The sequence below is a fragment of the Homo sapiens genome, chromosome 16 (genome assembly GCF_000001405.40).
Source record: "Homo sapiens chromosome 16, GRCh38.p14 Primary Assembly".
Lineage (NCBI taxonomy): Eukaryota > Metazoa > Chordata > Mammalia > Primates > Hominidae > Homo > Homo sapiens.
Genome location: NC_000016.10, coordinates 12,037,628 through 12,050,248, shown reverse-complemented (window position 1 = coordinate 12,050,248; position 12,621 = coordinate 12,037,628). Strand labels below are relative to the sequence as shown.

General features: G+C 46.8%; 1 protein-coding gene across 21 annotated transcripts in view; it reads right to left on the bottom strand.

Annotated features, from left to right (window-relative positions):
- Positions 1-12,621, bottom strand: part of SNX29 (sorting nexin 29) — a 597,554-nt gene that overhangs the window by 524,039 nt on the left and 60,894 nt on the right. For 19 of the 21 annotated variants that reach the window (XR_001752024.3, NM_032167.5, XM_017023874.2 and 16 more), the window contains exons 5-7: positions 7,172-7,352; positions 3,795-3,865; positions 1,629-1,877 (exon numbers count right to left, since the gene is read on the bottom strand). Coding sequence is in view for 20 of the 21 variants with exons in the window: in NM_032167.5 (NP_115543.3) it covers positions 1,629-1,877; positions 3,795-3,865; positions 7,172-7,352 (501 nt within the window). In the remaining variant the exon portion in view is untranslated. The remainder of the gene's footprint in view (positions 1-1,628; positions 1,878-3,794; positions 3,866-7,171; positions 7,353-12,621) is intronic. The other 2 variants (XM_047434886.1, XM_047434885.1) reach the window with 1 other exon arrangement.

Genomic DNA, 12,621 nt, shown 5'->3' with positions numbered 1-12,621 from the left:
AATGTGTGATGCGGTGAGGCCTCACTGGTATAGCACAACTCTGAGATCACCTCAAAAGCAGAGTTCCAAAAATGGGTGGAACTTCTACTCCTGTGGGTGTAGAAATTTCAGTGTCTGTTACACAAAGCTGTCAACAGCCCTATCTTCTACAAGGTTCGTGCAGGGTCTCTGCTGGAGAAGCACAGGGCAAGACAGACAAGGCCACTGTGTACCAAAGACACCATGGGACTCTACACTTTCACCATGAATAATTCCAAAGGGATGGCCACAGTTACTGCCTTGTTTCAGAGATTTGAGAATACTAAGTACTTAAGCCCAAAATTTCCAATTTCAACCAGGTGCAGTGGCTCACACTTGTAATCCCAGCACTTTGGGAGGCCAAGGCAGGAGGATCACTTGAGGCCAGGAGTTCAAGACCAGCCTGGGCAACATGGCAAGACCCTGTCTCTACATATATACACATACATACTACAACAAAATTTCCAATTTTGCTGTAGTAACATCTTAATGTCCCAAAGGAATCAAAGGGTATTGAAAACTTCTCACCAAATTAATCTTAACTGAATCAACTTTCTTTTTTTATATTTAATTTTTTAATTAAAATTTTTTAAAAACAGGCTGGGCACAGTGGCTCACGCCTGTAATCCTAGCACTTTGAGAGGCCAGGGCGGGCAGATCACCTGAGGTCAGGAGTTCAAGACCAGCCTGGCCAACATGGGGAAACCCTGTCTCTGCTAAAAATACAAAAAGAAACCACGCATGTTGGCACATGCCTATAGTCCCACCTACTCAGAAGGTTGAGGCAGGAGAATTGCTTGAACCCGGGAAGTGGAGGTTGCAGTGAGCTGAGATCATGCCACTGCACTCCAACCCGGGCAATAGAGTGAGACTCTGTCTCAAAAAAAAAAAAAAAAAGTTAAAAAATTGAGACAGGGTCTCACTGCATTGCCCAGGCTGGTCTAGAACCCTTGAACTCAAGCGATCCTCCTGCCTCGGCCTCCCAAAGTGCTAGGATTATAGGCATGAGCCACCACGACCGGCCTGAATCAACTCTTTTGCTTCCCCAGAGCCTAGAGTCAAACCTGACAACTCCTCTCTTTCCTGAGGCCTTAAATGCCATCCCCAGTCAGAGGCAAGACCAATGGCAGATGTTCCCCATAGCAGTCTATGCTTGGCTTTCATCCCTTTTATCCTAAGGATCATAAATTATATATTTTGTCATGAACTACCCACCCACACCCATCCCAAAGGAGACTGCAGGCTACCTGCTGGTAATCTGTCTTTCCTATTCGGCTCACCGCCTAACACACAGAATACGATGAAGGAACAAATAAAGGAATTAATGAATGAGGATCAACGTCATCTGGCTCCCGGTGTCTCTCACACTCTCACTTTCCGTTTGCTATGGTTGAGCTGTTCATTTTTCCACCCGGCAATTCTCGCATCTAGGTAAGGCCGTCAGAGCCCTTTCAGAGTGAATGAGGATGAGAAACAGAAACACAAATGGAAAACGCAAGTGCACTGGACTCCATTCCCCTTGGAATGACTTTCAGATGACAAGATATGTCCACCCCATCCGCCACATTCTGATTCCCTCTGCTCCGCCTCGAGCACCCGTTCCCACTCACCAGCACTGACATTCCTGGACACGACAGGCAAGGGGTCGGTCTCCTGTTCAGGTTTGATGAGGATGGAGACGGCAGAGGAGGCTGTGATCTCCCTGAACAGGCTGCTCACTCCTTGCGTGGACTCCTTCAGCAAGGAGGTCACGTTCTGCGTTGACTCCTTTAAGAGGTCTGAAACGGTGGGAGCAAACTTACTCTGCCCGTTCAAATCCTTGTTGTCGATGTTAATCGCAAAGAGTATGGAGTTCAGACCTGCCCAAAAAAAGGGAAAAGTCTGGAGTGCTTGCTGATGGGCAGTCATACCAGCAACAAGAGAAGACAGCTGCAGACAACAGAGTACAGAAGAGGAGGCACGTTGATCTTAAATAGGTATAAAAATACCTCCCATGCGGACGTTGCAGGGAGCGAAAATCGCGCCACTGCACTCCAGCCTGGGTGACAAAGCAAGACTCTGCCTCAAAAAAAAAAAAAACCTCCCATGAAACTGGGGTCAGCAGACATCCGTTATCATGGGAGTTGAGTCATGCCACGTTCTCTCCCTAACAGCCAGGAAAATGAATATGAATAAGAGGTCAACTGGGAGGAGGTAAAGGCACAAGTTCCGGGATCAGGCTGCCTGGGAGTGAATCCCGGCACTGCCACCTACTAGCTACAAGACCTTGATCCAGGCTGGGCACGGTGGCTCACACCTGTAATCCCGGCACTTTGGAAGGCTGAGACAGGTGGATCACCTGAGGTCAGGAGTTCGAGACCAGCCTGACCAACATGGAGAAACCCCATATCTACTAAAAATACAAAATTAGCCAGGCGTGTTGGTGCATGCCTATAATCCCAGCTACTCGGGAGGCTGCAGCAGGAGAATCGCTTGAACCCAGGAGGCAGAGGTTGTGGTGAGCCAAGATCCTGCCATTGCACTCCAGCCTGGGCAACGAGAGTGAAACTCCGTCTCAAAAAAAAAAAAAAAAAAAAAAAGACCTTGGTCCAGCAACTTAGCATCTCCCTGTACTCCAGTCACCTTATCTGTAAGATGGGGACAATATTATCTTCCTCACAGGATTGTAAGTATTAAAGGCAATCACTCACAAAACACTCAGCTCCATAAACCATCAAATGTGCACTGGTTAACATCATCATCATTACTGTGGACAGAAACTTACACTTGGCATCTTATGATCTACAAAGGAAATTATGGTCAAATTCTTTTTCTCATCAATGGACAGGACTAACAACCCCAGATATTTGAGATTTAGTATAAATTTTCAAGGAAAAACAAAAAGGAGGCAACAAAAAACTTGGAAAGAGGAAGCAAGTTGCCCACTTCAGTCCGGCTGATTCCACCTTTCACACTTTGAGTCAAAGGGCGAACAACGTAACAGTCCACCGACTAACATCAACCCAGGGTCTCTCCATGTTGACTCGTCATGTGTGCGACTCCTGATCTCACATGATTCTCTCACAGCCCCATGAAGATGACTGCTGAGACAGCATGATTCCCACCTCACAGAGAGGAAAGAAAAGGCAGCAAAGCTTACGGCATCTGCCCAGGTCACCAGGTAGCAAGGGGTAAAGCCAGGATTCAAAGGTAGGTCTCCCACCTCCAATTCCCCGCAATGTATATTACATCTCCAAAGCCCAACTAAAAACCTTCAAATCTTCACTTTCTCTGCCAGGGTCTCCCATTCTAGATAAATGGACCCAACACTGTGGTCGGGCACGGTGGCTCACACCTGCAATCCCAATGCTTTGGGAGGCCAAGGCGGGTGGATCACTTGAGCCCAGGATTTCGAGACCGGCCTGACCAACATAGTGAAACTCTATCTCTATTAAAATACAAAAATTAGCTGGTCATGGTGGCAGGCGCCCGTAATCCCAGCTTCTCGGAAGGTTGAGACAGGAAAATGACTTGAACCCAGGAGGCGGAGGTTGCAGTGAGCCGAGGTTGCATCACTGCACTCCAGCCTGGGCAACAGAGTGAGGCTCTCTCTTTAAAGGAATACAAATTAAAAAACCAACATTCAGTCCTAGTAAAAGAAGGACAGCAGCAAGTGACTCATTGAGTTGTTGAGGGACAGAAGAATCACAACACTCCATGGCGCTGTGGAACTGCCCCAAGGCAGCCCCTCTGCCAAGTGTCACAAGGCCCTGCACCCTGGTCTGGGCCAGGCTTACCTGCTGCCATGGTAGGAAGCATACTGGACCTTTCTTCATCCATCACAAAAGACCAGTCTTCATAAAAAGTGCTGCAGATTGAAAGAGAAAAGGAAATCGTTCTTAGCAGTGGTTCTCTGTGTCCATTAACCAGGAAATTCCATTAGACGGCTCCCTGGAAGATCTGCACCTGGTCACCCCAAGAGGGATATGATTTGTCTGAGGTCTCTGCTGGTTTACAGCTTCTGGTTACAAACAGAAGACTGAACACTTACATCCTACAACTTCCTCACTGGTCCCCCTGCCGACCCTCAGCTTTAGAGTACTAAAATAGACATGATATGTCAATGTATTTATAAAGCAGCAAAGTAGAAGGGAGCTGTCAGGTGGGTGACTTCCACTCAAGCAACGTCCCCAAGAGACAGACAGGAAATCCAAGCCTGCCAACAGGGCTCGCCTGATTTGCCTAATACAAGAAGAGACCATTTCAGACAGAAATTACAGAGCCTCTACGGCTTCATCAACCAGGGCATTTAATATAATGCCTGCCTTGGCCAGGCACGGTGGCTCACACCTGTAATCCCAGCACTTTAGGAGGCCAGGGGGGAGGATCACTTGAGGTCAGGAGTTCAAGACCAGCCTGGCCAACACAGTGAAACCCCATCTCTACTAAAAATATAAAAAATTAGCCAGGCATGGTGGCAGGCGCTTGTAATCCCAGCTACTCGGGAGGCTGAGGCAGGAGAATCGCTTGAACCTGGAGGCTTGGTGAGCAGAGATCGCGCCACTGTACTCCAGCTTGGGCGAAAGAGCAAGACTCCACCTCAAAATAATAATAATAATAATAATAATAATAATAATAATATAATGCCTGCCTAGGTTACAGACCTGAAAGCCCACATTATCCTTGGAAAAGGCTAGGAGGCTAAAAATGCCCCACAAATATAGATGGCAGTTGGGGTAGGGGTGTCAAGGAAGCCTACAGGGCCTGTCCAAGGTCATCTGGCCAATAAATGGTCCAGCCAGGGCTTAAAAGCAGGTCTCCCGAGTCCAACTTGCAAGCTCTCTCTGTCTTCCTGTTAAGTAATGGCAACCAAAAATCCCCAATGCCATAACTTCCCCGCCAGGTCATTGAATTCTAAATTAATCAAGGAAAAAGTCAATTTCGCTAAAGCAAAGTCAGGGATACATGACCTGTAGTTGAGTGAGAGACTGGAAAAATTAGCCACTGAAGTGACTGAATACAACTAACAGAAAGAAAGAAGAGGCGCATTTCCAATATACTTCCCCAGAAAATGTTAGTAGACGTACAAACCACATGCTCAAGCTGACATTCTGACTGCACCTGATTCCTAAAATCATAATCCTTTAAAAATCTGAGCCTGTTTTCGTGCATCTAAATGAATGTGTTTTCCCAACATCCAGCTGGGGAAGTGGCTGGTGATCCAGGTAAGGTCAACTGTGATTCTTACCTGCTGGACTCATTTCTTCTTGTTGGTCACTTCAACTTTGAGACTGAGTATGTAACTCTGAACTACCCGTAAATAATATGCTGGAAGGAGCTTCACAGAAATTCACTTCGAAAAAAAGGAGTAGGCCAGACACAGTAACTCACGCCTGTAATCCCAGCACGTCGGGAGGCCGAGGCGGGAGGATCACGAGGTCAGGAGATCAAGAAGACCACCCTGGCTAACACAGTGAAGCCCCGTCTCTACTAAAAATACAAAAAATTAACCAGGCATGGTGGCAGGCGCTGGCAGACCCAGCTACTCGGGAGGCTGAGGCAGGAGAATCGCTTGAAGCCGGGAGGCAGAGGTTACAGTGAGCCAAGGTCGCGCCACTACACTCCAGCCTAGGCAAAAAAGCGAGACTTCTTCTCAAAAAAAAGGAAAGAAAGAAACAGGAGTGTGTTTTCCTTAACTAAAGCTGGTTAATGCCCTAGAGATCCAGACATTCTCAGCCTCCGAACTCTGACCGTGAGCAGTACACAGGTGTCATCAGTGTCAGTCCTCCTGGTTCCCAAGCACTCCCATTTTGGACCCATAGAGTCTTGCCATACAATTGAACAAGGAGCCACAGGCAACAGAGAACTTTAAGAGTATTTTTAAGAGCCCCAGTGCACAATCCCAGAAGATCTGAGACATTACCAGTAGAGAGGTGACCACAGCAGTAGATAAAGCAGAAGAGGAGACCTGAACTAGGGAACACAGGGCAAGACATAAAATCAAGGGAACATGCCACACTACTCACAAACTGCCCACTTACGGAATTCAGTGAAATTTCACTGTTGACGATCTGGGCGTTGCTGATGGGGAAGTTACTTAAGGAACCAGAACAGGATTCGTCAGTGTCGCTCCGTATCACTCAAGGACACAAAACAACATGTCTAGTCCACCATTCTCAGAGCAAAACTAATGGCCATGGCCAGCCACAGTGGCTCACGCCTGTAACCCCAGGACTTTGGGAGGCCTAGGCGGGCAGATCACCTGAGGTCTGGAGTTCAAGACCAGCCTGGCCAACATGATTAAACCCCGTACCCACTAAAAATACAAAAAATTAGCTGAGTATGGTGGCACAGGCCTGTAATCCCAGCTACTCAGGAGGCTGAGGCAGGAGAATCGCTCGAACTAGGAGACGGAGGTTGCAGTGAGCCCAGATAGCATCAGTGCACTCCAGCCTGGGCAAAAGAGTGAGGCTCCGTCTCAAAAACAAACAAACAAACAACAACAAAAAAAATGACTTCCTTCCCCAATGTAAAATTTCCATGTTTTTTTCAGTTTGGGATTGAATGAATTCAAGAATCCCAAATTAAAATTCTGCACCTGGCATGGTAGCTCATACCTGTAATCCCAGCACTTTGGGAGGCTGAGGTGGGAAGATTACTTGAACCTAGGAGTTCGAGACCAGCCTGGGCAACACACTGAGACCCCATCGCTACAAAAAAATTTTTTAAATTAGCCAGGCATGGTGGCGTACGCTTAGGGTCCTAGCTGCTCAGGAGGCTAAGGTGGGAGGATTGCTTGAGCCAGGGAGGTCCAGGCTGCAAAGACCCATGTTCATGCCACTGCACTCCAACTTGGGCAACAAAGCAAGACCCTGTCTTTAAAAAAAAAAAAAAAATCCAGAAAGTGAAGAGGAAGCTATGTCCTAAGACAACAGCTCTCTCCACATCCAAGCTGGCTGTATGCAAGTGCCATGCCGAGCCCTTTACAGGCAGTCTCTCAATGATTCTCCCCCAAGTTTCTCCACAGCTCAGCAGAACACTCCGGAGCTGTCAGAGGGAGGCCCACTTCCCCCAGATCGGGGAACTAGGATGAAAATCCAGGTGGTCTGATTCCAGACTCCAAGATCTTCACCTCTTGCTCCATCCCATCCCAGTTCGCATCCCGGCCACGTACCTCAGCCTGCAGCGGTCGGCCAGGAGCATGTGCAGGTAGCGCTCCAGGGAGTGTTCGTTGAGGGCACAGCGCAGCCAGGCGCGACCCCGGCCCACGTCTGAGGCGATGTGGCGCAGGGAGTAGAAGCGCTGCAGCTCGTGCTTGTTGAGGACCTCCTTCACGTAGTACCAGAACACGGGCTCTACGGAGAGAGGGCACAGGCGCCTGGCACTCGGCCTGGGGCACTCAGCACTGGGAGAGGAACACACAAAGCCTCTAGGCGAAGTTGGAGATTGTAACAGAGTATCCCCTTAGCATGGAAAAGGTAGGAGATAACACCAAAGACATGGAATCAACCCAGATACCCATCAATAGTGGACTGGATAAACAAAATGTGGTACATTTACACAATGGAATACTATGCAGCCATGAAAAAGAACAAAATTGTGTCCTATGCAGCAACATGGATGACTGGAGGCCATTATCCTAAGCGAATTACACAGAAATAGAAAACGAAATATTGGATAGTCTCACTTATAAATGGAAGCTCAACCCTGGGTACACACAGACATAAAGATGGCAAACAACAGACACTGGGGGCTGCTAGAGAGAGTAGAGAGGGAGGAGAGCACAGACGGAAAAACTACCTACCAGGTACTATGTTCACTGCCTGGGAGATGGGTTCAATCGTGCCCTAAACCTCGGCATCACGCAATGTACCCAGGTAACAAACCTGCACATGTACCCGCTGAATCTAAAATAAAAATTGAAGCTGGGAACGGTGGCTCATGCCTGTAATCCCAGCACTTGGGAGGCTGATGTGGTGGATCACTTGAGGCTAGGAGTTCAAGACCAGCCTGGCCAACACAGTAAAACCCCATCTCTACTAAAAATGCAAAAATTAGCTGGGTATGGTGGCGCACACCTGTAATCCCACCTACCGGGCAGGCTGAGGCAGGAGAATCACTTAAACCCAGGAGGCGGAGGTTGCAGTGAGCTGAGATTGCACCACTGCACTCCGGCCTGGTGGCAGAACAAGACTCAGCCTCAAAAACAATAATGAAATAAGAAAAAAAGGTGGGAGATACAGAAGAGTATATCAAAAATAAAAATGACTCTAAAACCTCTCATCCAGAAAAGACCAATATTGACATTTTCAAGAGTTTTCAGTCTTTTTTACTGCACTTTTCTTTTTTATAAAAAAATCAACATTTGCTGTAGGCTGAATTATAATCCTCAAACATATCGACGTCCTAAGCTCCAGAATTCTCTGAATATTACCTTATATAGTAAAAGAGTCTATGCAACTGTGTTAGGATCTGGAAATTGGGAGGTTATCTTGCATAATCCCTGCGAGGCTGACGTAATCACAAGATCTTCATAAGAGGCAGGCAGAGAGAAACTTGACACAGAAGAGGAGGACATGATGTGGCCAGAGAAGCAAAGACTAGAATGGGGCAGCCATAGCCAAGGAAGGTGGGCAGCGAGCAGACTCTGGAAGGGCCAGAAACGGATTCAGCCCTGAAGCCTCTGGAAGGAAGCAGCCCTGCTGTCACCTTGACTTTAGCCCAGTGAAACTGATTGGGGACTTCTGACCTCCAGAACTGTGGGAGAATAAATTATAGTGTTTAAAAGCCAACAACTGTGTATTAATTTGTTACAGCAGCCAGAAGAAAAGAACACATCAGGCCAGGCACGGTGGCCCATATCTGTAATCTCAGCACTCCGGGAGGCCGATGCGAGCGGATCATCTGAGGTCAGGGGTTCGAGATCAGCCTGGCCAACATGCTGAAACCCCATCTCTACTAAAAATACAATAATGAGCCAGGCATGGTGGCAGGCACCTGTAATCCCAGCTACACGGGAGGCTGAGGCAGGAGAATCATTTGAACCCGGTAGGCAGAAGGTGCAATGAGCCAAGATCGCACCACTGTACTCCAGCCTGGGCGACAGAGCAAAACTCTATCTCAAAAAAAACAAAACAAAAAAAACAGGATGGCGCGGTAGCTCACCCCTGTAATCCAAGCACTTTGGGAGGCCAAGGCAGGCAGATCACGAGGTCAAGAGATGACCATCCTGGCCAAAATGGTGAAACCCTGTCTCTACTAAAAATACAAAAAAGCTGGGTGTGGTGGCGCACGCCTGTAGTCCCAGCTACTTGGGAGGCTGAGGCAGGAGAATCGCTTGAACCCAGGAGACGGAGGTTGCAGAGAGCCGAGATCACGCCACAACACTCCACTCTGTCTCAAAAAATAAATAAATAAAACCACATCATATTGTATGAGTGTATATGCATACATATTTATATGTGTAATTTTGTATCCTGATTCATTTATTTTCTTGTCTAGAGCATGAACATTTTCCTATTACAATTAAAAGTCTTTCAAAGATGATTTTTGATGGCTTTCCAGTAAAACATAACTATTTCCCTACTACTAAGGGCATGGCACATGGCCAACTTTCCCTCTGTACAGTAAAGAACACCCCTATACATAAATAATTGTCCTCATTCCTAGTTCCTTACGAAAGATTTCCACATGTCGAATTACTCAGTCTGAGGATAGGAACAGATTTAAGGCGTTATGGGAAACCTAAGAAAGTTTGTTTTTATCCATAAGACAGTCATTCCTACAACTACTTGTATCTCCTCACATCCCACTACTTTTTATCCACATGTACACAGATTTTTAAAATTTGTTATATACATTTTAAATTAATTATTATTTATTTATTTTTGAGACAGGGCCTCTCCCTCTGTCACCCAGGCTGGACAGCTCACTGCAGCCTCAACGTCCTGGGCTCAAGTGATCCTCCTGTCTCAGCCTCCCGAGTAGCTGAGACACAGGCACGCACCCCCATGCCCAGCTAACTTTTTAATTTTTATTTATTTGTAGAGATGAGGTTCTGCTATGTTGTGCAGGCTGGCAGGCTGGTACCAAACTCCTGGCTTCAAGCGATCCTCTTGCCTGAGATTCCCAAAATGCTAGGATTACAGTCGGGAGCCACCATGCCCAACCCCAGATATTTTCATAGTTGTAATGCTAGTGTATACATAATTTTGTGATCAATTTTCTTCACTTAACATTGCCTCTTTAACATTTTTTCATGCTGGCAGTAATAATAACAGCAGCAACAGCAACTACTATTTACTGAGCATTAACTATGCACCAGCTATTGCAGTAAACACTTTACATCTGACATCATCACAACCAAGGCCATCGCCATGTGAAAGACAAGGTCTGAAGCCAGGACAAGTGAAGCGACTCGCCCAGCAACACAGTTAGTAAACAGTATGGCAGAAAGGGACCCCAGAGCTCACTGCAAACCACTAAATCACACTGCCCTGCAAAATGAGGGGACTTGGCCTTCTTCAAAATGATCACGTTCACAACTGTTTAATATTCCAAGTAGGGGAAGCTGAGTCTTTACAGTCAGACCTGGCTTCCAATCTAGGACCTAAACAGGCTCACAGTCCCCTCTGAAATGTGACAAAGGCTTTGAACCTGCCTTCCAGAAGGAGGCAAGTACACCCATCTCCAGAAACTGCATGGCAGGCTAGTTAAATTCACTCTAATGTTTCAATTCAACTTCACTAGGATCCACTGCATTCTTCCTGGGAGCTGTGAACCGAACTAGGCTATGTGTCACCAGCTAGAGACAACAAGAACTCGTCCCTAAGGGGCTTCCAGTCTAGCAGGCAGGACAACAGAGAAAAAGTCCATTCAACCAAATGACCTTGAGCAAGTCACTCAACCATGCTAAGCCTGAAAATCCTCTCCCATAAAATCAACACAAAAGTGCAGAATCGCCCAGGGTTACTGGGGTAACTAGAAAGGGAAGGAAAGCACCGAGCACAGTGCCCAGTCCATGATGACCAATCAGCATTTGCTTAATAATTAATTCCCTTCATAGCAGAGGGCATTCGCGTGGGTTCCTTTTTGTGTTAGCAGCATCTAAATGTATACATCTGTATGAGTGTGCATAAGTATTTGTGGATCAAGCCAATCACTGGGATCATTTAGAATAAACTTCCCAGGAATAACAAAAACCAGCAAGAGGGCAGGTCCCTCGAGACTATCTTGTGTCTCAATCCCTAAATGTCAAAGTAATCCACTTCCCAAGCTCATCCGATCAGTCTACTCCACACAACTGTACAAAACAGCCTTCCTTCCATTCTCCGCCTCACTCAAGAAACCAGGACGGGGAATCTGGCGACAACAACACCCTGGGCCAGCTGGCCAACAACGTATTTCGAAATACCCCAGACCATTGTCGGTACGTCCATCACATTTCCAGTCAAGTGACTCTCACCTGCAGCCTGTCTTGAAAAATGCAGTCACCTCCCTCCGACCTTGAATCTACATGAACGCTTTAAAGTGTGTTTTCACCTTTCAATTCTGCAAATTGCTTACTGCTACAGAATCCTTTTAAAGCTAGTCAGGGTGATGCTGATGATGATAAGAATTATCCCAGCAGGGTTCCGCTTCCACTGCCAGAATTAATGTGGTCTATTTAAAGCGCAGCTCACCTGCCAATTAGCGCCTGCGGTGTCCGTAATTTAATTTAGGGATATACACTGATCTGCTTTGAAACATGGGGTTAAGTCAAAAAGCGGGCAAGGGCTTCTGGTTCTCCAAACACCTGAAAGCCGAATGCCAACAAGAACAAGTGCCAGGAAGGGGTGTTGAGAAGAGCTGCCCCGGGGCACCTGTTAACAGAGGACACTAACAGCACCAGGCTTTTGGGAAAGTTTCTATCAAGCCTTAACTATCACCGATGCCCAAGACTTGGGGACCACAAGGAAGACAAAAACCTTGTCCCAAATTCTAGTTCAGGCACTGTGTGACCTTGGGAAACTTATTTTGTCCTCTACTTTCTTCATCTGTACAGTGGGGAGAACAGTACCTACGTGTATGGATTGCTATGAGGGAAAAATGAGAAATAGGAATACATGTAAAGTGTATCCAATAAATGCAGTGAATAAATGTTAGCCATAGTTATTAACATACCTGGCATATAATTGGTGCTCAATGAAAACCAGCTATTAATATCACTACTACACGTGCACCAAACAGCATTCCTTTTCCTTGTTTGGGGTTTTTTTTGTTTTGTTTTGTTTTGTTTTGTTTTTGAGGGGCGGGGTGGGGACAAGGTCTCACTCTGTCGCCCAGGCTAGAGCACAGTGGCACAATCATAGTTTACTGCAGTCTTGAACTCCTGGGCTCAAGCGATCTTCCCATCTCAGGCTCATGAGTAGCTGGGACTACAGGTGTACACCACCATACACGGCTAATTTTTTTTTTTTTTCTGTAGAGACGAGGGTCTTACTATGTTACTCAAGCTGGTCTTGAACTCCTAGAATCAAATGATCATCCAGCATCGGCCTCCCAAAGCACTGGGATTACAGGCGTAAACCACTGAGCCTGGTCCCTTTCCCTTTCTTCTAGTAAGAGCACCCCGCTTTCCTACGG